At 41.1% G+C, this 24,155-nt stretch overlaps 1 protein-coding gene and 1 long non-coding RNA gene across 13 annotated transcripts, besides 3 other annotated features; one reads left to right on the top strand and one right to left on the bottom strand.

Moving 5' to 3' along the window:
• Positions 1–4,439, bottom strand: MPC1-DT (MPC1 divergent transcript). Its single transcript, NR_189630.1, has one exon. It is a non-coding gene; the product is annotated as an MPC1 divergent transcript (long non-coding RNA).
• Positions 4,005–4,744: a silencer, noted in NCBI's record as "silent region_17777". NCBI's record gives its function as "represses an Ori minimal core promoter by ATAC-STARR-seq in GM12878 lymphoblastoid cells {active_cell/tissue: GM12878}" and the evidence as "EXISTENCE:reporter gene assay evidence [ECO:0000049][PMID:35858748]".
• On the top strand, positions 4,677–22,698 carry MPC1 (mitochondrial pyruvate carrier 1). 12 transcript variants are annotated; one of them, NR_073093.2, is made up of 6 exons: positions 4,677–4,811; positions 17,396–17,399; positions 18,656–18,884; positions 20,726–20,822; positions 21,511–21,643; positions 22,164–22,698. NR_073093.2 is itself a non-coding variant. In NM_001376565.1 (6 exons), exons 4-6 carry the CDS (start codon positions 20,780–20,782, stop codon positions 22,186–22,188), a joined length of 201 nt encoding a protein of 66 aa, NP_001363494.1. In that variant the 5' UTR covers positions 4,677–4,811; positions 18,682–18,872; positions 20,433–20,648; positions 20,726–20,779; the 3' UTR covers positions 22,189–22,698. The 12 variants fall into 12 exon arrangements, 7 of the variants coding, with proteins under 7 accessions (NP_001363494.1, NP_001257808.1, NP_001363496.1 ...); NM_001376565.1 differs by lacking the exon at positions 17,396–17,399 and adding an exon at positions 20,433–20,648 and having other exon boundaries at positions 18,682–18,872; NM_001270879.2 differs by lacking the exon at positions 18,656–18,884 and adding an exon at positions 20,433–20,648.
• Positions 4,895–4,994: a silencer, noted in NCBI's record as "silent region_17776". NCBI's record gives its function as "represses an Ori minimal core promoter by ATAC-STARR-seq in GM12878 lymphoblastoid cells {active_cell/tissue: GM12878}" and the evidence as "EXISTENCE:reporter gene assay evidence [ECO:0000049][PMID:35858748]".
• Positions 5,355–5,534: an enhancer, noted in NCBI's record as "active region_25433". NCBI's record gives its function as "activates an Ori minimal core promoter by ATAC-STARR-seq in GM12878 lymphoblastoid cells {active_cell/tissue: GM12878}" and the evidence as "EXISTENCE:reporter gene assay evidence [ECO:0000049][PMID:35858748]".

Genomic DNA, 24,155 nt, shown 5'->3' with positions numbered 1-24,155 from the left:
TTAACATTTACAAAACACTTTTATCCTCCACTAAATAGTTCCTTCTAAATTGCCTTCACCATCGTAACAAACCTGCAGGAAAGACAAACGGGCTATTTATCCCCATTTCCAGAATGAATGAATGAATGAAATAAAGGCAATATGATCAGGAACCGGTGGAATTCAGTGTTTTCACTCACAGAACGACTCCGCTTTTTTCTTTTTTCTTTTTCTTCTTGAGACAGAGTTTTGCTCTGCCGCCCAGTGCAGTGGCATGATCTCCTCTCAATGCAACCTCCGCCTCCTGGATTCAAGCGATTCACCTGCCTCAGCCTCCTGAGTAGCTGGAACTATAGGTGCGCACCACCAATTCCCGGCTAATTTCTGTATTTTTAGTAGAGACAGGGTTTCACCATGTTGGCCAGACTGGTCTTGAACTCCTGACTTCAAGTGATCTGCCCACCTTGACCTCCCAAAGTGCTGGGATTACAGGCATGAGCCACTGCGCCTGGCCTTTTTTTTTTCTTTTTTTTTTTGGTCTATGTTGATAACTGGATGAGAGAAGTTGGTTTATTACAAGTGGAAGCTTTTCTTCAATCATAGGAAGCTGATGGACACTGTAAGATCAAGGAAAGAACAAATGGAGGTAATCAGTTTAGAGACAATCAGCAGCCTCCTTGGAGGAGTGTGGGCCTCGTGAAAAGGTAACACAAGTACTACATGCTGAAATGGAAAAAAAATACATTTTCGTGAGAAAGTGAATGAATTAAAATTAGACTGTTAGAAAAATACTATAGATACATGAAAAAATTCATAACCATGCAGGAAATGCATGACTGCCAACATTTTTAATGACACAGTTTTGATTGAAATTATGGTTAAATTAGTAATACATACATTCTGTTCTTGACAAAAATTGGAAACATTAATCCTAATCAGTGAACACTTAATAACTACCTTCCCCTGAGATAATTACAAAAGAAATAGAAATTCTGCAGAGTATCATTTTCCTTATTCTCTAGAAAGAAATAAAAGCTCTTTAGATAATACGTTTATTATCCCAGGGCACAGAAATCTCTGGCCCAGGGACGAAAACTGAAGTTAAGCAGTTGCCATCACGCATTGCAAATGGCTCTACAGATCAGGAAGGATGAAGATTCCCTTTGTGGACAGGCTGTGCGCTCCCCAGCAAGTCGGCCGGAACCAGTCATGCAGCCCCATGCGGAGGCTCTGCAGAGGGGACCCAGCCCCTTCTACAAGCAGACGCACTGTCATCGCATACACACAGTGTATGTGGACTGCCTGCACAACACTGACCCATAAGGGGTGCTCTGTTAACAGAGGCCAGCTTCCTTCCAAACTGACCAGAAATCTGTCCAAACTCACAGATCCTGTGTCTACAGGGAAGCGCCAAGTGCGGCCTATTCTGATTGTCGTTTCTGAACTTTGATGGGCAGGTGAGATTGGGGCTCACTGCTGGGCCTTTACACTCACTTCCACAAACCTGGGGTTCAGAATAGCCAGTGATGCTTTCATTTGTGCATTCCACACACCGTCCAAATATGGACAAACCATGTAGGACTGGCCTTTCTAAAGTTTTACGAAATCATGTACATGGGTCTATCTATTGCTATGTTCTTATGCTTTAGATCACATTCCTGCTTCATATTTGAAGTAAGAGATACATGGCAACATGAAACAAATACTTTTTGTGGCAACATGGGGGAAGTATGGCTTTGAGAGTCGCAGAGAACTTAGTTCAAACCCAAATTATCCACTTACGTATGTCTTTTGTCTTTACATACTCCAATTTGTACTCCTTCATGGAACGGAAACTAGTGGAAAGCTCAGAGGTCCCAATTGAGGCCCAAATGTGGGAAGTAAAGCCTCTTGACCCCAGCCCAGTGGTGGCAACAGTGCATTAGGGGCAGGTGCCCTCAGTAGAGTTTCTCCAAGTGCTAGACACTGACCAGCAGCCTCAGAGTCACCTGCAGTGCCCATTAGCCACGCAGCTTTCAGCCCCAACTCCAGACCTTCTGAGTCTGAGGCTGGGATCTAGGAATCTGCCAAGGATTCTTCTGACAGCTCAGGTTTCAGAACCACCATCCATGAGGAAAAGAAACATATTAAGGGCTAAGACAGAGCAGCTATGAGATCCAGGAACCTGTTAGCACATGGAGAGTCTCCTTTTCCACCAATCTTGCAGAGCAGTTTGGCTTCATTCAAGAAGCCACTCAGTTTCCTTATACCTACCTTCTGGGTTGATGTGAGAAGGAGAAATAATGTACAAATAGTGCCTAATGATCAAGAAAAGGTAGCTATTAATAATATTATTATTAATAATCAAGACTCCCTCACTTTTCACAGGTTGTACATTCCTAACCCCATCATGAAGCATGTTCATGTGGAACAGAACAACCTTCCTGGTGTTCAAGACTGCAATATTGTGTAATGAGATACACTTTCAGTGACGATCAAGGTCAGCTGTGACCAATAGAGACCACGATCCTAACAGAAAATGAACCCCACTCAATCAAGGGCTTACCATTTTCATTCTCAAAGGCATTTCTTCTTAACACCACTTATTTTGAATAGATAGCATAAGTAGACTGTACAAATTTCAAAAAGAACAAAGGAAGATACAATGAAAAGTCAGTGTCACTCTTGGTCATCCTTAGAGGCAGCCACTACTAACATTTCTCCAGTATCTTTGCAAACATGAATGTATATATTTTCTTTGTCCCTATGCACAATGAGTAGCATACTTTATACACTATTCAGAACCTGGGTTTTTTTCTTGAAAATAAAAAAGATATTTCATATCAGCACATAAAGAATTCCTTTATTCCTAATGGCTGTATACTAATCCACTAAACGGATGCACCATAATTTATTTAACTCTCTCCCTATGGGTAGATATGTAAACTCTAATCTTTCCATACTAAAAACAATGCTGTACACATGAAATTGCACAAACTGGCTTGTCTATCCTAGGAAATCTCTAGATGGGCTTGCTGGATCAAAGGGGATGTCCATTATTAACACTAATACACTGCGGGTCACTAATGTTGAGAATTCCTGTTCACCAAAGGCATTTCTTTTATTTTTTATTTTAGAGACAGGATCTCCCTCTGTTGCCCAGGCTGGAGTGCAATGGCACAATCTCGGATCACTACAACCTCCACCTCCCGGGTTCAACCGATTCTCACGCCTCAGCCTCCCGAGTAGCTGGGATCACAGGAGCGCATCACCACGCCTGGCTAATTTTTGTATTTTCAGTAGAGATGAGGTTTCACTATATTGGCCAGGCTGGTCTCAAACTCTTGACTTCAAGTGATCCACCTGCCTCAGCCTCCCAAAGTGCTGAGATTACAGGCGTGAGCCACCGCACCCGGCTACCAGAGGAATTTTGTTATATTTATTTGTTTTTTTTGGAGACAGGGTCTTGCTCTGTTGCCCAGGCTGGAATGCAATGGCGCAATCTTGGCTCATTGCAACTTCCGCCTCCCGGGTTCAAGCGATTCTTCTGTCTCAGCCTCCCAAGTAGCTGGGACTACAAGCACATGCCACCACGCCCAGCTAATTTTTTTATTTTTAGTAGAGAGGGGGTTTAACCGTATTGCCCAGGCTGGTCTCGAATTCCTGACCTCAGGTGATCCGCCCGCCTCGGCCTCCCAAAGTGCTGTGATTACAGGCGTCAGTCACCGCGCCCGGCCACCAGAGGCATTTTAAATGATCGTCCACATTAGAAACAAAACGAAACGAAACAACTTGGAAAAGTGAGCAAAAGCCTTCAATGTGTTCTTTTCTCTGCCTTTGTGATCCGAAAGTCGTGCTGCGGTTTATATACTCCTAGGCGAGGGTCGCGTGCTAATGATCCCTTTCTTTTCAATATGCACCCGCGGTGGGACTTACAGAACCTTTATTTTCAACACGTAAGCAGTCACGCTTCCTCGAGCCTAAGGCTTTGTGCTATTCTTAAATGCTTTCCTCCTCCGACGCTGCGGCTCCCTCCTGAGCCCGTAGCTGCAGCGCGTTGGTGAGGAGCGCCGGCCCTGGGTGCCGCCCGCCACCCTGGAGGGACCGGTCCGGGGGAAAGTGCTCGGGAGAAGCCAGGGGCCCCGGCTGCGGTCGCTGGCCCGGGGCTCTGCGCACTCCCCAGTGCCCGGAAACCGCAGGCTGGCCCAGCTTGCGGGCCGGGTCCGCCCACGTGGGTGTGGGAAGCGCAGGGGACGCGGGCCGCCCGGCCAAGGTGCCCTTGCCAGGAACCGGCGCAGACACAGGCCCTGGGCGGCGCGGGAACCCGGCCAGTCCCACCGCGCGCTGCGCCGCAGGGGCCCCACTGCAGGTCGCCCCAAGACCGCGCGACGCTCGGCAGGGCGCCCACAGTCCTGTGGGTCAGAGAAATGTCACCTCCACGTCCCCGCTGGCCGGGAGCCGCTGGAGCCTAGCAACCGCCTGCCAGCCCCGGCCCAGCCCCAGCCGTTTTACGGCAGCGGGCCCCGCCCCCGTGCGCCACCGAGGGCGGGAAGGAGGCGTGCGGCACGAGCCAGCCAGTCCGCGCCACCATCTCTGGCCCTGCGCCCTGTCATTGGCCGAGAGCCGGGCGGCGCGGCGCGGCCGTAAGGCGTGGCCGGGTGTCGTGAGGCGGGCCTTCGGGCTGGCTCGCCGTCGGCTGCCGGGGGGTTGGCCGGGGTGTCATTGGCTCTGGGAAGCGGCAGCAGAGGCAGGGACCACTCGGGGTCTGGTGTCGGCACAGCCATGGCGGGCGCGTTGGTGCGGAAAGCGGCGGACTATGTCCGAAGCAAGGATTTCCGGGACTACCTCATGAGGTGACGAGCGCCGCAGGCCGAACCCCGCAACCCGGAGGGGCTCCCGGGAGGCTGCGACCCGTGCAGTCCGCGACGAGGGCGGCCGCGAGGACGCGGTGGCCCCGGGCAGCGGGTGGGCCGGGGCCCAGGCGAGAGGGTGCGCTTGTCAGGGGGGCCCCACCCGGATCCCTCCCGGACCGCCACACCCCGAAGCGGACGGCGTAGAGAGCCGGTGACAGTGGGCGCCTTTCAGGGCGGGGGTGACAGTGGGCGCCCCTCAGGGCGGGGGTGACAGTGGGTGTCCTCTCCCGGCAGGGTGACAGTGGGCGCTCCTCAGGGCGGGGGTGACAGTGGGTGTCCTCTCCCGGCAGGGTGACAGTGGGCGCCCCTCAAGGCAGGGGTGACATTGAGTCCCCTTCAGGGAGTGGGTGACGGTGGGCGTCCCTCCTGGCCAAGGTGACACTGGGGACGCCTCTCCTGGTAGGCATAACAGTGGACGCCCTTCCCGGCCAGAGTGGCAGTGGGGACCTGGAGGGACGAAAGCGACGGCGCTCCTCAGGACAGGGTGACCATGGGGACGCCTCTCCCGGCAGGGGTGACAGTGGGCGCCCCTCAGGGCAGGGTGACCCGGCAGGGGTGACAGAGGCTCGTTCCTCTCCCATGGTTGGCAGTGGGCACGTCCCTCCGGGCCAGTTGACAGTGGCTCGCTCCTCCGGGCGGGAGTGGTTTCCTGGCCGGTTTCTACCAGATCCTCGGAGTGGGTCGCCGGTCACCTGCGGCCGTCCAGGTGTGCCAGAGGCGGCGACCTGGGTGTGGGGTGGGGAGACGCCAGCGGGAGGCGCTGCTGAGAGCGCGGCGCGGCGCTGTTGGAGCGGAGCTTCGGGTGCGCCCAGCGCGCTTCTGGGACAGCGGAAATAAAATGTGCTGGCCTTGGGTTCGCCTTTCGGTTTTCTCATTCTAAGGACTTTAAGCTTGGGAGGAAGTACAATTTAAGATGTTTTTATATACGAAATTCTGTCAACCAAAGTAAAGTGACGTGTCTCTAAGGTCATACTTTTTCTTCTTGTTCTATTTTCTGTTAACTCCTCCTTTCCAGTTAGAAACAAAGAGCATTCGCGGTTGGAAAGCCTGAAAATACACTTTCTATAATTTATTTGCACCTCTCATCTTGGGGCGCTTGCTTTTATTTCAAAATATTGAATATAACTTTGAAGCAGTTTTAGGTTATTTAGGAGTGTAATTTTAGTTAGTTTTTCAGTGTATGATTTTAAAACCTAGGTACGTGTACAGCTGCGGTTTTTTTTCGGTAGTTAATAGTGTGGTCAAGAGGTAAAGAGATGAAAGCTGAGGAGGAATAAATCCTGTTATAACCACACAAAAGGGATAGTATGAAGGCAACTTGATTTTAGCAATAAAAAAGTTTTAAATCCTGAATTTTATTGCAAATACTGTTTACTTCTACTTTTATAGAGCAGTAGGGTAGGAAAAATAATTCAGTCTGCCATATGGTAAACTTGTAAACAGAAGCTTCACTTCTGACTTTCAAAAAAAGACATTTCTATGCTTAAATAGAACTACTATTAATTAAGATGGGTGTTTAGCACTGTGGAGCACAGCAATGTATCAGATTAATGGTAGTAAAAATGTGAACAAGGTAGCAGTCTGAGGGTATGCTCTCAATCCTTGCTGTTAAGTTTCTCTACAGCTTTGAATATTACTTTAGCTTTTTACTAATGTGTTGGATACTGAGCCTTCCTAATAGGTACAGCTAAGGATAACATTGTGTGGTAAAATTAAAAATACAGTTATGACACCTAGCTATATAAAAATTATGCTGATAATTACTTAACCGTTTTCTTTTCTTTTTTTTTTTTTTTTTTTTTTTTTGAGACAGAGTTTGTCTCTTGTTGCCCAGGCTGGAGTGCACTGGCACTATTTTGGCTCATCCAAACCTCCGCCTCCTGGGTTCAAGTGATTTTCCTACCTTAGCTTCCCAAGTAGCTGGGATTACAAGCATGCACCACCACGCCAGGCTAATTTTGTATTTTTAATAGAGACGGGGTTTCTCCATGTTGGTCAGGCTGGTCTCGAACTCCCGACTTCAGGTGATCCGCCCACCTCGGCCTCCCAAAGTGCTGGGGTTAGCAGGTGTGAGCCACCATGCCCGGCCCTAACAGTTTCATTACATAGGAAGAATTTGTTAAATATATTTTCAAGGAAGAGAGTTCTGCTTTTCTAAGTGTTATATTTTCTTCTACTAAATGGGTTTCCAAGAGCCAGGCTTTTCAATAGGATACTTCAGTATATCATCTAACCTTTTTTTCTAAAATTAACTTTATGTAGCTTTAAATTTTTATACTTTCTCCAGTATTTAATTCAATTACACTTTGACTAAATAAGGAAAAGAAGAGAATTGCATTACTCGGAACAGTGTTGCCTGGTAGAGCACCACACTAAGATTCAGAAGAATGACTTACAGTCCAGGATCCCCAGCAAGTTGATCCCAGCAGACTTTATTTGTCCATCAAATGGGTTTAATGATAATGCTCTTTTTGGGTTATCAAGAAAATTAAATTGGATAAGGGATGTGAAAATACTTGGAAACTCCAAATCACTCTACATTTTATTATATCCTTCTGTTTTTGCAAGCGAAAACATTTTTTAAAGTTTACAGTTATTTAGAAAGTTAAAATCTTGTGTGAGCTATAAAGCTCTATGATCTTGAACTGAAATTATTTTTGAAAGGTGAACACGTGATGTGAAACATTCAGCTGATCTGTTTACCCTGCCATTCTTGGCAGCAGTGGGAATTCATGCTAGGTCTGCCAAACAGTGATTGAGGGCCAGTTTGAGGTCAGGTATCAACACTCTGACCAGAAGCTTTTTATTTTAGTGTTTCCTGCCCTAGAAAGAGAAACATTTCTTCCTAGAACATATCAGAGGAAAGTACTTCCTATTTGTTCTTCCAAGCTTTACGCTTACAGCCCGGCTTTTCTTTAGCAAAGGAGAATAAAATATAAAGCAGAAAACGTCATTGTATCTCTTTTCTTCTAATCAGAAACAAGGTTCCATCCCTTCCTCTTTTTACTTCATCAGTTGCCTGTTGTACACACTTTGCATCCTCTGCATTCTTTTTGTAGCCTACTGAAGGGGTCTAGAGGTTTTCTCAACTAAAGCTGTTCTAGAATTTTAAAAATTAATAACATAATTGAGTTTTTCAGCATAAATTTAAAATCATATTTTACACAGATTATAAATTTATTTCAATCATGTTTTATGAATCAAGTTGAACATTCTTACTAAACTGAATTTCCAAGTGTATTTATTTATTTAGAGACAGGGTATTACTCTGTCACCCAGGCTGGAGTGCAATGGCATGATCATAGCTCACTGTAACCTCCCACTCCTGGGCTTGAGTGAGCCTCCTGCCTCAGCCTCCCGAGTAGCTAGGGCTACAGGTGTGCACAATCATACCTGGCTAGTTTTTTGTTTTTTCTTAGAGATGGGACCTTGCTATGTTGCCCAGGCTGTCCTTGAACTCCCAGTGTCAAGCAGTCCTCCCATCTTGGCCTCCCAAAGCTCTGGGATTATAGGCATGAACCACTGTGCCCAGCCCATCCACATGTATTTTAAATGATTTTTTTTTATTTCACTGAAAGAGGTTATGAAACAGGCTCTCACTTAGGACACCTAAGAACCAAAGATAATGTGTGGACTTTGATTGGGCCTGGTGTGAAAAAACAGCTGGAAAAGGCATTACTGGGATAACGGAACACTTAAATAGGATCTCAGTATTAAATAATATTAAATAATTATTGACAATTGTTAATTGTGATAATAATACCGTTAAACCTAGGTGATGAGTTTGAATGATGGATTTGAAGCCCAGCTCTTGCTTTCCAGCTTTGTGAGCTTGGGCAAATTGTTTAGCTTTTGTGCTTTCGTAGCTGTTTAATGACATAGTATAGCGCTTGACAAAAGTAAGTGTTCAATTTATTTTTTATTGTAACTAATATTGCATGTTTAATCCCCAGGATTTCTGGTACTCTCTTTTTGGTACTTTCTTCCATCTCTTGTTACTTACCTTGATTAGGATCTTGAATCAAGAACTTCCTGGGTCTCTATTCCAATACCTTTTTCTTAAGAAACTATTCCCTCACCTTTCTTATTGACAGAATAGAAAAAGAGAGCTCTTCTTTGCTTTTCCTCTTCTCTCATTCTCCTTCCTGGATTTCTGGTTAAGAAGAATAAATTAGAATAAGCAAAACAGTTTTGAGGTAGGACATATATTTTAATGATTAACTCAATCAAGGTCTGTGCAGCTTTATTCTAGCGACTTATTCCTCTTCTCAAGTTTGTATATTACAGTAAAGGTGAATGGATACACACACACACACACACACACACATGTATTTGTATATGTGTGCAGAGGATGTTTTCTTAAGAAGAACCTAGATCATAGAGTGCTTTAAAATCAGTTAATCACTTAGTATGCTTATGAATCTGAAGTTAGTGGGATGTTTGCATTGAATATTCTCAAGTTGATCAGGTATTCTAAATTAATTTTAACTTCTGAGTCTCCAGGAAAGCTTTCAGAATTTATACTTACTACCCAGGTGAGAAGTTGCAGTAAAATAAAAGTGAATCTTTCCCAAACTTGTGGAATATTAGAGTTGGAACAGGCCTTAGAAATTCCAGTGCTTCATTTGCCACATGAGAAGGCTGATATCTGAACCAAACAGATAACTTCAGAACCTCTGGATACCAAACTTGTGAAGCTAAAACAGAAATGTCAACTTGGGATTTAAAGGAAAATAGTAATGCATAGAAATGGTTTTGAAAAGAAGGTTTTAGATATTTTTGTGCTCCATGTTTTCCTGCATATGTCTCCCTTTTCTCTGCCAAACTGCTTTTCACACCCGGTCCTTGGACTCTTTGAGCACTTCCCTGCCATATAATTGACTTTCAGAAATTGAATGAAGCTGGAAATGTTGAAGCAGGACTGGCCATAAGAATCTCTTAATATCTGGATAGTCCAGTCACAAAGATCTTTACTGTCATTCAGCTGACTTTTGGCTCGCTAAATATAGCTGAATATCACAAATTCTAATTGTCAAAACCCTCCCTCATTTTAATTTGAACTAGAAAACTAGACAAAATTTGGTAAGAATAAATTTCAGCAAACTGTAGAATTATGATCTAAAATATCTCAAAATTTTATCCCATTTTACTTTGAATAATGTTAGAAATATACTATGCTAGGCTGTCAGTTGGATCCTTTTAGTACTACATAAGTAAGTTATAAATTACTTAAATTGCTCTCAGTACTTTCAGAGAAAGCTAACATTACCATAATTTTGGAAAAATTAGACTGACCTAAAAGCAGCTCCTCTGCTCCTTTTCAAATCTCCTCCTGGTTCAGCCTGCCTGCCTCCACTTCTGCCTCCACCATGTCCATCAGGGTGACCCAGCAGCCCTACAAGGTGTTCAACTCTGGCCCCTGGGCCTTCAGCAGCTCCTCCTACATGAGCAGGCCCAGTGCCCACATCAGCTCCTTGATTGTCTCCCGAGTGGGCAGCAGCAGCACCAGCTTCCAGGGTGGCCTGGGTGCCGGCATGGGTCTGCCACTGCACTCCAGCCTGGCTAACAGAGCGAGACTGTCTCAAAAAAAAAAAAAAAGAATAAATAATAATAATAGTAATTATAACTGATATGCCAGGAAAGGAGGGAAAATGGAATCATATAAAATGCTCATTTAAAACCATAAAAGGCAGAAAAAGAATGGAAGGCAAAAAAAGAACAAAGAACAAGGACAACAAATAGAAAACAGTAACAAATATGGTAAATAGTAATACAACTATATCAATAATCACTTTGAATATCAGTAGACTAAAAGTACCAATTAAAAGACATATTGTACAAGTGGATCAAAAAATAAGACTCAATATACATTGTCTACAAGAAACCCACTTTAAGTGTAAATACACATATAGATTAAAAGTAAATAGGTAGAGATAGGTGTACCATGTTAACATTAATCAAGAAAAGGCGTTGGTAGCTATAGATGGAGCATACTTCAGAGCAAGGAAAATTACCAGGGATAAAGAGAGACATTACATATGATAATGGGATCAATGCTCCAAAAAGACAAATGCAATGGTTAATTTTAGGTGTCAACTTTACTGGGTTAACAGATACCCAGATAGATGGTAAAACATTATTTCTGGGCATGTTTATGCAGGTATTTCTGGAAGAGATTGGCATTTGAATCAGTAGACTGAGTAAAGAAGATGTGCCCTCACCCGTGTAAGTGGGCATCATTAAATCTGTTGAGGGCCCCAGTAGAACAGAAAGGTAGAGAAGAGACAATTTGCTCTCTCTTCTGGAGCTTGGACTTCCATTTTCTTCTGCCATCAGACATCAGAACACTAGGTTCTTGGGCTTTTGGACTCTAGGATTTACACCAGTGGTCCTTCAGGTTCTCAGGGCCTTTAGCCTCGGACTGAGTTACACCATTGGCTCCCCTAGTTCTCAGGCCTTTGGACTCAGACTGAGTTACAGCACTGGCTTTACTGATTCTCCAGCTTGTGAAACTTATTACTTCTATAACAGCATAAGCCAATTTCCATTAAAAATTATATATATATACACACACACACACACACACACACGTATGTGTATATGTATCTATAGCTATACATCTTCTATTAGTTCTGTCTCTCTGGAGAGCCTTAATACAGGTAACAATCTTTAATGTGTATGCACCATTACAGCATTAAAACACATGAGGCAAAAACTGATAGAATTGCAAGAAAAAATAGATGAATCCACTAATATAATTGGAGATTTCACCCCTCCATCATAAATAGACCCGGCAGGTAGAAAATCAGTACGGACATAATTTAACTCAACAAAACAATGAATCAACTGGATATGATGAACATCAGTAGACTGCTACATGTAACAGCAGCAGAATACACATTCTTCTCAAGCTCACATGGAACACTCACCAAGATAAATTATATTCTGGCGAATAGAACACACCTTAACCAATTTAAAAGACTAGAAATCATATGGTGTGTGCTTTGGAATTCAACTAGAAGTCACTAACGAAAGCTGGAAAATCCCCGATACTTGGAGATTAAACAGCACACTTCTAAATAACTCTGGGTCAAAGAAGAAATCTCAAGATAAATTTTTTAATATTTTGAACTAAATAAAAGTGCAAACACAACTTATCAGAATTTGTGGGATACAGTTAAAGCAGTGATTAGAGAGAATTTTTATAGCATTGGATGCATGTATTAGAAAACGAGAAGGTTCTAAAATCAATCATCTAAGCCTCCACCTTACAAAACTAAAAAAAAAAAAAAAAAGCAAATTAGAATGAAAATAAGCAGAAGAAGGGAAATACAGTAGCTCTCCACCCCCCTTATCCACAGTTTGCTTTCTGCAGTTTCGGTTACTTGTGGCCAACTAAGGTCTGAAAATATTAAGTGGAAAGTTTCAGGAACAACCAATTCATAAATTGTAAATTTTGTGTCATTCTGAGTAGCATGATGAAATCTCATGCCATCCTACTTTGTCCTTGTTGAAACATGAACCATCCCTTCATCCACCATCTGTATGCTGTAGATGCTACCTACTTGTTAGTCACTTAGTCATCCCACCTAATCACTTAGCCATTGTTGTGGTATTGCAGTGCTTCTGTTCAAGTAACCCACATTTTATTTAATGATGGCCCCAAAGTACAAGACTAGTGATGCTGGTACTTTGAATATGCCAAAGAGAAGCCATAAAGTACTTTTTTTAAGTGAATAGGTGAAAGTTAAAATCCCAGCACGTTATTCTGTGGATATCAACACACAGATTTTGGAGTTTAAATGGAGACGGCGGTAAACCCCAAAATAGCCAACACAGTATTGGAGGAGGAGAACAAAGTTGGAGGACTGACATTACCTAACTTTCAAACTTACTATAGAGCCACAGTAATCCAGACAGCGTGGTACTGGCAAAGGAATAGACAGATCAATCAATGGAACAGAATAAAGTGCCCGGAAGTAGACGCCCAGAAGTAGACCTACATAAACCAAATCAACTAAATTTTGACAAAGGAGCAAAGGCAAAACAATGTAGTAAAGACAGTCTTTTCAGCAAATTGTGCTGCGACAACTGGGCATGCAATTGCAAAACAGAAACGAATGTAGACACAGACCTGACGCCATTTACAAAAATTCACCCAAAAAGGATCACAGACCTAAATGTAAATCACAAACTATGAAACTCCTAGCAGATAATTTAGGAGAAAACCTAAATTACCTTGGGTTTGGGGATGAGTTTTTCTGATACAAGACCAAAGACATGATCCCAGAAATAATTGATAAGCTGGACTTCATAAAAATTAAAAAGTTTTGCTCTGTGAAGGATGCTGTCAAGAGAATGAAAAGATAATATATGAGAAAATATTTGCAGAGGACATAACTGATAAAGGACTTTTCCAAAATATACAAAGAACTCTTAAAACTTAACAATAAGGCCAGGCGCGGTGGCTCACTCCTGTAATCCCAGCACTTTGGGAGGCCAAGGCAGGCAGATCGCTTGAGGTCAAGAGTTTGAGACCAGCCTGGCCAACATGGTGAAACCTCTACCTAATTCTCTACTAAAATACAGAAATTAGCCAGGTGTGGTGACGGGTGCCTATAATCCCAGCTACTTGGGAGGCTGAGGCAGGAGAATCACTTGAACCCGGGAGGCAGAGGTTGCAGTCAGCCAAGATCATGCCACTGCACTCCATCCTGGGCAACAGAGCAAGACTCCCTCTCAAAAAAAAACAAGCCAACAAAACCCACAAAAACAAAACTCAACAATAAGAAAGGAACTAAATTAAAAATGGGCCGAAGACTTAAGCAGATACCTCTCCGTGTTCAGATGGCAAATAAGCATATGAAAAGAAGCTCTGCCAGAAGATTGGACACCACTGTTCTACATCGTATGTCATCAGGGAAATGCAAATTAAAACAAGATACCACTAAACATCTATTAGAAAGGCCAAAAGGCAGAACGCTGACAAAGGCAAATGCTGATTAGGATGTGAATCAACAGGAACTCTCATTCGTTGCTGGTGGGAATGCAAAATAATACAGCCACTTTGGAAAACAGTTTGGCAGTTTCTTACACATTCTTTGGTATTTACCCCTAGGAGTTGAACCCTTAGATCCACACGAAAACCTGTATGTGGATTTTTATAGAGGTTTTATTCATAACTGCCAAAATTTGGAAGCAAACAAGATGTCCTTTGGTAGGTGAATGGCAAAATAAATTGTGGTACCTCCAGACAATGGAATATTATTCAGCACTAAAAAGTGAGCTATGAAACCATGAAAAGACATGAGGGAAACTTAAATTCATATTACTGCATGAAAGAAGCCAGTCTGAAAAGGCTGCATACTACCTGGTTCCAACTACACAACGTTCTGGAAAAGGCAAAATTATGGAGCTAGTCGAAAGATCGGTGGTTGCAAGGGTTGAGGTGGGGCACAGAGGATTTTTAGAGAGTGAAACTACTGTAAGACACTATGATGATGGACGCGTGGCATCGTATGTTCATCTAAACCCACACGATGTACAGCACTAACAGGGAACCTTAATGTAGATATGGACTTTGGGTAACAATCCTGTGTCAATGTAAGTTTCGTGATTGTGATAAATACACCATGGGCGGGGGATGTAGATAATGGGAGAGTGCGTGCATGTTTCGGGGCTGGGTGTATATGGAAGGTTTCTGTACTTTGGTTCAATTTTACTGTGAACCTAAAACTTTTCTGAAAAATTAAGTTTATTTTTTAAAAAAACAGAATACTTAATTTTTAACTGGAAATATAGTTTCTCCTCCATGAGAATTCAAAATCATAAGTGAACCCAAGAAAGTCTATGAGTTTTGTGTTTGTTTGCTTTTTTACTGAAAATAAAGGCAGCATACCAAATAAAGAGAAAATCAAGAATATTTTCTAAATGGTTTTGCATTACTGTCCCCAAATTGCAGTTTATATGTGGCTTATAAATTTATCTCCCCTTTTTTTTTTGAAACAGGTAATAATACATATTTGGAAGCATTTTTTTTTCTAATTTGGTTCTGCACAAATATGCTTTTCAGATATTTTGATTGAGTTGTTGATTCATGCATTCTAGAAAACCCTGACTTAGAATTGAGGGATGTTGAGTTGTAGTGTTTTGTATTTAACAGACATATTTAAACTGACTTTACTCTCAGATTGTTTTACAGTAATTAATGTGATTATATTCATGTAGGACTTTTGAACTGAGCAGGGTATGAAGGCAGAAGTTAATTCTCCCTTATTCTCATACATGTGTAATCTATACTAATCCTTATTCTCATACATTTGTAATTCTCCCTTATTCTCATACATTTATAATCTCCCTTATTCTCATACATTTGTAATCTGTTGTAAAATAGGGTATAATCAAGCTGTTGTATGATTTAAGGAGAGAGTCCTAAAGGAAAAACTAAGTTATGTCCAAGTTGAAACTTCACATTGTAAGTACGACATCCTTTAAAATATTTTTATAGGGAAAAAATGTGCCCTTGGTTATTCATAGTTACCTAAAGGGCCAGTGTTCAGATACTGACAAAGGTATTTGAAGGAGAGCAATGCCGTAGGTGACTGACTGTTCTAGCTAGATTATGCTGTCTCATCTGGTAAGGTTATCAATCTCTCTGCTATAAAGCATTGTGGTCAGTTTGTACTTGCTGTGAAATATAATTTGGATAATTATATTTGTATATATATGAATGATATATATTTCATAATATAACCTATCTGAAGCACATAGTAGTACCCCCTCATCTGCAGTTTCTCCTTCTATGGATTCAGTCACTCAGGGCCATTTGTGGTCCAAAAAAATATTACAGTATTGTGAAAGAGAGAGTAACCACATTCTCAAAATTTTTATATCAGTTCATTGTCATAATTATTCTATTTTATTATTAGTAATTGTTGTCAATCTCTTACTCTGCCTAATTTATAAATTAAACATTATCATAGGTATGTATGTATAGGAGAAAAACATAGTATATATAGGGTTCCGTATTATCCACGGTTTCAAGCATCCACTGGAGGTCTTAGAATGCATCCCCTGAGGATAAGGGGGACTACTGTATTATTAGCACCATCAACAATTATTTTCATGTTACAAATTATAATCTCTGTGCTCTCTAAAACAAAACAACTAGTAGAATTCTTTGGACTTGAGTCTGTTTATAAAGGATTTTATTATTTCATTTTTCCCCCTGCCGTACTGCTCAATTTTATTATTTTATTTCAATAACTCTTTCAGTAGCTCAACTTTGAGATTTTGCCCTAAGAGAAGAGCTCAGGTATATCCTGGCAAGAGAAATTGTTATTTCAGAAATAAAAGTAACTCAATATAAGTTTTTGGTGTATTTTTAAATTTAACATTCTGGAAAACAGCATTGACATTTTTACTATTCATTCATTCATTCAATAAATATTTTTTAAATTCCAGTTTAAATGCCAGGCCCTACTTTAAGTAGTCCAGTAGTAACAAAAATACATCCCTCCAGGGGTTCACATTCTGGTGCAATGTGTTAGTAAGCAGAAGGGAAAGTTTCATTGTTAATAGAATTCTGCAACAGTATGCATCTCTCCAACTTACCACTTTTAAGGAAATATTTCCTCGAAAGCTGTGCTGTCCAATTTGAGAGCCACTAGCCACAGGTGGCTACTGATCACCTGAAATGTGACTAGTTCAAGCTGAGATGTGCCGTAAGTGTAAAATACACACTAGAGTCCAAATAATTGTATGAAAAAGCATGTAAAAGGTCTAATGAATAGTTTTTATTGATTACATTTTGAAATTAAAATGTTTTTTGCATACATATGGATTAAATAAATATTAATACAAGTAATTTCTGTGGTTTCTTTTTACTTTTCTACTTTTCTTTTCCTTTTTTTTTCCAGACAGGGTCTTGCTCTGTTGCCCAGGCTGGAGTACAGTGGTGTGATCATACCTCACTGCAGACTTGAACTCCTGGGCTCAAACAATCCTCTGGAGGCACAAACCACCCATGCCCAGCTAATTTTTAAAATATATTTGTGTATAGATGGGGTCTCACTATGTTGCCCAGATTAATAGTGAATTCCTGGCCTCAAGCAATCCTCCTGCCTTAGCCTCCCAGAGTGCTGGGATTACAGGCATAAGCCACTGTCCCCGGCCTTCTTTTTAGTTTTCTTAATGTGGCTTCTAGAAGTTGTAAATTACGTACGTGGCTTGTATTTCTGCCTTGCATTATATTTCTATTGGACAGTTCTGCTCTAAGGATTGCACTTATTTTCCATAAAACTAAGATCTAATTTCATGAAGTCAAAGTTCTTATTAGAAATAATATTACTTGATCTTTTAAAAATAATAAAAGAATGTACACTGTTAACGTTGTAGTCCTGTTACTGAAATTTGAATACAGGTGTGAGGTTGCAGTAACCTAATAAGACCAAAATCATTTGATTTTTGTTTCTTTTTTTTCCATGTCTGTCCTGTCTGAACTTCGGTGACTCTTCACAAAATAGTACGGTAAGAAAATTATTTCCATCCATTTCAGGCTTTTGCAGACTTTCTGCATTAACAGAGTTAGGGGTAACAGGCTTAGCATCCTTTGCATATGAGAGCCTTTCTAGCCGCCATGGCTGGCAGGTTGTGAAGGGTGCCTACTGCACCCTGGCCTGTCCTGGGGAGCCTAGACACGAGCTCTGTGACAGCCATGCTCCTGGGGCTGCTCCCTACTCCTGTTTTTAGAAACAAGCATATAATTACTTCATTGATAACAGTCACAGTGGAGCCTAGCAACCGATGAAAGGAAATAGAGAAAGAAAAAGAGAAAGCAGGAAAAGAAGGGTGGGATGATTTTTTCCTGTAGGGTGGAGTTCATTTCCATGGCTTGATTTTCACACAGGAGATGGTGTTGTATAATTCTGTTGGAACTTTCTTTTCAGCACAATTAAGAATTATAATCAAGTAAAATGTTTTCCATTTAATCCAACATATGTTAATTTCTTTTTGAATTTTAATAAAGTTCCTTATTTTTCTCAAAATTGACTGCTGAATATCTGACAGCATAAATCAATTGTATTCTAAAAAAGGGAAGAGAGAACTAGAATATTGTACTAGATAGAAAAGATGCATTATAAACTTTCTAAGGTTAGGTATTTTAGTAAACTAGTGTTAAAATGATTTTTACCTTTCGTGTTCTTCTTAAGAAACATATTTTCAGTATAGCTCAACACTTACAGTCATAAGTGTATGTATAGTTCTTAACTTGCAGAACTGTTTCCTATAACCTAACACTCATCACACTTAAACTTTTTATTTTTTTAATTTTTTTTCTTTTTTGAGATGGAGTCTTGCTCTGTTGCCCAGGCAAGAGTGCAGTAGCACTATCTTGGCTCACTACAACCTCTGCCTCACGTGTTCAAGCGATTCTCCTGCCTCAACCTCCCTAGTAGCTGGGATTTCAGGTGCAAGCCACCACACCCAGCTAATTTGTGTATTTTTAGTAGAGACGGGGTTTCACCATGTTGGTCAGGCTGGTCTCAAACTCCTGACCTCATGATCCGCCTGCCTCAGCCTCCCAAAGTACTGGGATTACAGGTGTGAGCCACCATGCCCGGCCCATACTTAAACTTTTAATAACATCACTTAGCCAGGAATCTCCCAAGGCTACTTTAGGTTTAGATTTATTCCATTGTCCATTTCTGCTTTAGCCCCACCTATGAAAGAAGACACATTCACAACCAGTGGTAGAGAAACTGTGGTTTATATGCCCCTCTTAGAATAACTCTTCAGGCTCTGTTTATAGCCCTGGGTTCATGCATGATAAAGTAGACAGCAACACCACCATACAGTGCAGAGGAGTGGCAAGAGAGTAAACGGAAAAGGAGATGAAAATAGACCAAGTGGAGAAAGGCCTGGTCAAAAAAGGAGGAAAAGGAAGATCACTATGGAATAATAGAGAGTTGAAAAATGAAGTGACACCCAATAACAGGACGGGTAAGAAAAGAAGTAAGTAGGTAAGGGAGAGATAGATACTCTCCCTTACAAAAGTCTGGGGAATAAGGAAAAAAGAAAACTGGCCATATTGCATCTAAATGTAAGAAATTAAGGGTCATTGTTAATAGAATTCTGCAGGAGTGTACTTCTCTCCAACTTGTCATTTTCTTTTTTTTTTTTTTTTTTTCCCTGAGACGGAGTCTCGCTCTGTCACCCAGGCTGGAGTGCAGTGGTGCAATCTTGGCTCACTGCAACCTTCACCTCCCGGGTTCAAGCAGTTCTCTGCCTCAGCCTCCCAAGTAGCTGGGATTACAGTCACCTGCCACCACGCTGGCTAATTTTTATATTTTTAGTAGAGACAGGGTTTTACCATGTTGGCCAGGCTAGTCTTAAACTCCTGACCTCGTGATCCACCCGCCTCAGCCTCCGAAAGTGCTGGGATTACAGGCGTGAGCCGCTGCACCCGACCCAACTTGTCATTTTCAAAGAAATATTTCCTCCAAAGCCTTGCTGTCCAATTTGAGAGCCACTAGTCACCTCGTCTAAATGTAAGAAATTAAGTGAAAGTTGCAGTAGTGAGTATCTTAGATAACATGCAGTCTGAATGCAAGATAACTAATTAGCCAGCCCAGAATCTCAAGATTCTTTAAACCAACTGTGCCTAATTTACAGAGTTTATAACTCACATGTTAAACCCTGAAATACTTATGGTGATGGCTATGTGGGAACTTTGACCTTTTGTAGTTATCTAAATGACCTTGTGGCTTTCATGTTAAATAAACATTTTTAAATATTCTATTATGCCAAATCTAATTCCCATTTATTTTTCTTATATTTCCCTTGGTTTACCACTTTTTAGGGAATCTTTGGATTTTAACCCCTCGTCAATAGTAGAAGCAAAGTCTGAATTTAACCTAAACATTATGATAGGCAGAAGTCAAGCAAAGACTGTTTTTACTCTTTAGTGTTAGGATAACTAAAAGGGGTGTTTAGCCAACAAGATGTGGTTCCTTTCAGATTTGAAAATATTATTTCCAAATTCTAAATTAATGAAACAATTTTTCATCTTTAATGAACAAAAGCCACAAGCCTTATTTTATTTCAGCCTCTAAAATTAAATTGATTGTGGCTGCTGTCAAACACAGACGACTTCACTTTGGTATCCTTGGATGAGTGTAGTTGTGGAATGAAAAACTATTGGTTCATTTCTTTAATATTAATATAAGTTTTTGCTATTATGTCAAAAGTACTTTCCAATCTTAATTTCTTAGTGTCTGGGGTCCTGGGCATTGATTTCCAAGTTATTTTATCTTAGAATAGCTCATATGAGCTGAAAAACAATTTATTCTCTTATTAAGCTTCTTTCTTCAGAAAAGTACCCAATTTAGGGTCTGCATTTTAAGAATTATTAACAAATATCTTCATAAAAATTTGGGAAAAGGAGTGTGGATAGATTTAAACATAAAAATATGGAGAATAGTTCTAACAGGGTTTGAATTATAGCAACAATGGATTGTGTAAGAAGTGAATCTTATTTTTATTTTTAAATGTTCTAAATAGGACAATCAGAGATGACTTGGTTGTAGTGTGGAAACCAGTAGGGACCTTGGGAAGCTGCCAAACCCTTTCTAGCTCTGGGCTCAGCTGTAAGAACTGCTGATTCCTACAGGAACACTTGGACAATCCAATACCTAAATGTTAACCATCAATTAACCCAGTAAACCTGCAAGATGGAAACGAAGATTTGTTCTCACGAGTTTCACGTGATTATTTAAAGTAAGGGAAATTTCAGCTGTTTATAGTTCTGTCTTAACTTTTTCCTCTCTTCATTCTTTTCCTCTCATTTTTTGTAGCACTTCTGGGGCCCAGTAGCCAACTGGGGTCTTCCCATTGCTGCCATCAATGATATGAAAAAGTCTCCAGAGATTATCAGTGGGCGGATGACATTTGGTAAGAATGCAGATTTGGATAATTGGGAGGACTTTCAACATAGTAGAGCTCCTGCTTGCATTTCAAGATTGTAGCACTAGATGTTACAGTCACTATTAGAAAGTCACATACAGAATGTGATGGCATGGAAGAGTGTTACTTCTCTATGTCAGTAAGAAACAAGATTAATTAGAAATATTTATCTAGGAAGTAGTAACATCTTATTTGCCTTTCAGATTTAGCACACTGAACTGAAGACTGTGTCATCTGAATCATTCTAATAGTCACTTTAATGATTTATATTGTGAACTTTTTTGGGGGAAACTGTCATTAAACTGACTTGAAACCCTGATATTTGAACATAAAACTATTGTGGAGGGAATAAATAACAATTCTTTCAGATAATGAATGGATTATAAGCAACTCCAGGAGACAAAAAAAGTGTCTAGAACAAATTTCAGCCTACTCTTGCTCGGAAATATGTTCCTTAAATGTTTAAATAATTAACAAAAATGCATAGCAGTACAGTAAATTTTTTTATGAGCTTCCTATTGATACAGGCATTTAAGTAACAACTTTTATCTGTCAAAGGCTTTCGCAGAAGAGGTTCTTTTTTGATCAGGGCAATGGAACTGTTCATCTCTGTGGTCCTATCAACCCTCTCAGTTTTCTAAGTTATTGATTGTCTTTGCTCTGCTATTTTTGGCAGCCCTCTGTTGCTATTCTTTGACATTCATGAGATTTGCCTACAAGGTACAGCCTCGGAACTGGCTTCTGTTTGCATGCCACGCAACAAATGAAGTAGCCCAGCTCATCCAGGGAGGGCGGCTTATCAAACACGAGTAAGCAGATTTCAATTTAGTTACTTTCTTTTCAGGAATTTGAGGAATTGGGGAGAGTGAAACTAAAATCTTTTCTGAGGGAGTGCTGCGGGACTGGAGTGTGTATAGATGCGCTTTAGCAGTTGGGGAAACAACTTACTAAACCATGAAAGTTAACATGAACTAGGATACAGGCTGAGCATCCCAAATCCAAAAATCTGAAATGCTCCAAAATATGAAACCTTTAGAGTGCCAACATGACACTCAAAGGAAGTGCTCATTGGAGCATTTTGGATTTTGGATTTTCAGTTTAGGGATGTTCAACTGGTATAATCCAGTTATTCCGAAATCTGAAAAAATCTGAAACATGTCTGGGCCTAAGCATTTCAGATGAGGGATACCCAACCTATATTATTGTTTTTATAAGTTGTAAGTTGAAATAAATGTTATGTAAAGGTGTCTTTTAAAAGCCATCCAAAGCCCTTGCGATTGGCATTGAAATTTTGTTTCTCATTGAATTTTTCTTTTTGTTTCTTTCCAGGATGACTAAAACGGCATCTGCATAACAATGGAAAAGGAAGAACAAGGTCTTGAAGGGACAGCATTGCCAGCTGCTGCTGAGTCACAGATTTCATTATAAATAGCCTCCCTAAGGAAAATACACTGAATGCTATTTTTACTAACCATTCTATTTTTATAGAAATAGCTGAGAGTTTCTAAACCAACTCTCTGCTGCCTTACAAGTATTAAATATTTTACTTCTTTCCATAAAGAGTAGCTCAAAATATGCAATTAATTTAATAATTTCTGATGATGGTTTTATCTGCAGTAATATGTATATCATCTATTAGAATTTACTTAATGAAAAACTGAAGAGAACAAAATTTGTAACCACTAGCACTTAAGTACTCCTGATTCTTAACATTGTCTTTAATGACCACAAGACAACCAACAGCTGGCCACGTACTTAAAATTTTGTCCCCACTGTTTAAAAATGTTACCTGTGTATTTCCATGCAGTGTATATATTGAGATGCTGTAACTTAATGGCAATAAATGATTTAAATATTTGTTAAATGAGTATGATTAAATATCTTGCTGCATTCCCTAGGAAACTGCAGAACAGTGTATCTGAAAAGACAGTTATAGGTGAAAACGCAACTCCTTGAAAACTATGAAGATGGCTGGAGGAAATGCAGAGCTGGAAGGCCAGTGTTTTCTGGAAAGCATCGACAGTCCAGCTACGCAGAACGCATTCTTTCTCTTATGGGCAAGTGTTATTAATAGAAATGCCCCTCAGTCACTGAGACTCAGGCCAGTCACATGAGTGTTCTGGGCTTCTCTTTCCCTCTTTGTAAAAAGTTGCAGAGGCAATTTCTGTGGTGATCTAAGAATTGTGCTGCTTTCCAGAGATTGCAGTCCCACAGGAATGGGCTGATCCCGTGGTCCAGCGCAGCACTAGGTGCTCGGATGGAGGAATCAACTTTCAGGGGAAGGATGGAGCTGTTAACTAGGAGCTGCTCCAGAGAGGTCTGACCAAATGACTGAAAATATCCTAAGAGCATAGTCCTGACTTCTTATTTCACATTATACAGTTAAGTTAGAGTTTCCACACTACAACCAAGTCATCTGCCACCACGCCTGGCTAATTTTTGTATTTTTAGTAGAGACAGGGTTTAAAAAAAAATCCAACTTGAATCTGATTATAGTTTCCCATTCTCTATGTGGTAGCAGATGAGGGCAGCAGAGAAGCCCGTGATGAGCAGAGGGGAAGTCTGTGAGGCGCAGTCTCCCTCAAGGGTCCATATTCTGTCACTTTTGAGACAGGGTCTCACTCTGTGGCCCAGGCTGGAGTGCAGTGGTGCAATCACAGTTCACTGCAACCTCCACCTCCTGGATTCAAGTGATTCTTCTGCCTCAGCCTCCCAAGTAGCTGGGATTACAGGCATGCGCCACCATACCCGACTAATTTTTGTATTTTTAGTAGAGGCGGGGTTTTGCCATGTTGGCCAGGATGGTCCTGAACTCCTGGCCTCAAGTGATCTGCCTGCTTCCCAAAGTGCCGGGATTACAGGCATGAGCCACTGCACCCGGCTTCATATTCTGTCACTTTTATTTTCTTTTTAAGGTGCTATACAGTTCACAAAGCATTGTCATATGTGTTCTATTTGGGCCTCACACAGCACTGTGGAGCAGGCTGGTCATTTATTTATAGAGGCGGGAACAGGTTGTGAAGCTGTGAAACACCTGTATTTGGCAGGGCCAGGGCACACACCTGTCTGGGGACGCTGCTCCTGCCACACTGCAGCTGGGACCATGGCAGGACAGACACTGCAGGAACCCTGCCACGCCACAGCTCCGTCAGGCTCAGCTTCCACAGTTAAGTACAGCTGAGCATGGTGAAAAAAACTGGCATGAAGAGCTGTAGATTGGTTAAATTAAAACCACTTGTTCTACTTTATCATACAAGTAATAATACTTGCGAGACATTCTAACTCTACAGAGACACAGGGCATAGAGTGCAGCAGCTGAAG

This window comes from Homo sapiens, chromosome 6 (assembly GCF_000001405.40).
Source record: "Homo sapiens chromosome 6, GRCh38.p14 Primary Assembly".
In the NCBI taxonomy this organism is placed as follows: Eukaryota; Metazoa; Chordata; class Mammalia; order Primates; family Hominidae; genus Homo; species Homo sapiens.
Note: the sequence above shows the minus strand (reverse complement) of the source record. Positions and strands in the feature narration are given on the sequence as shown.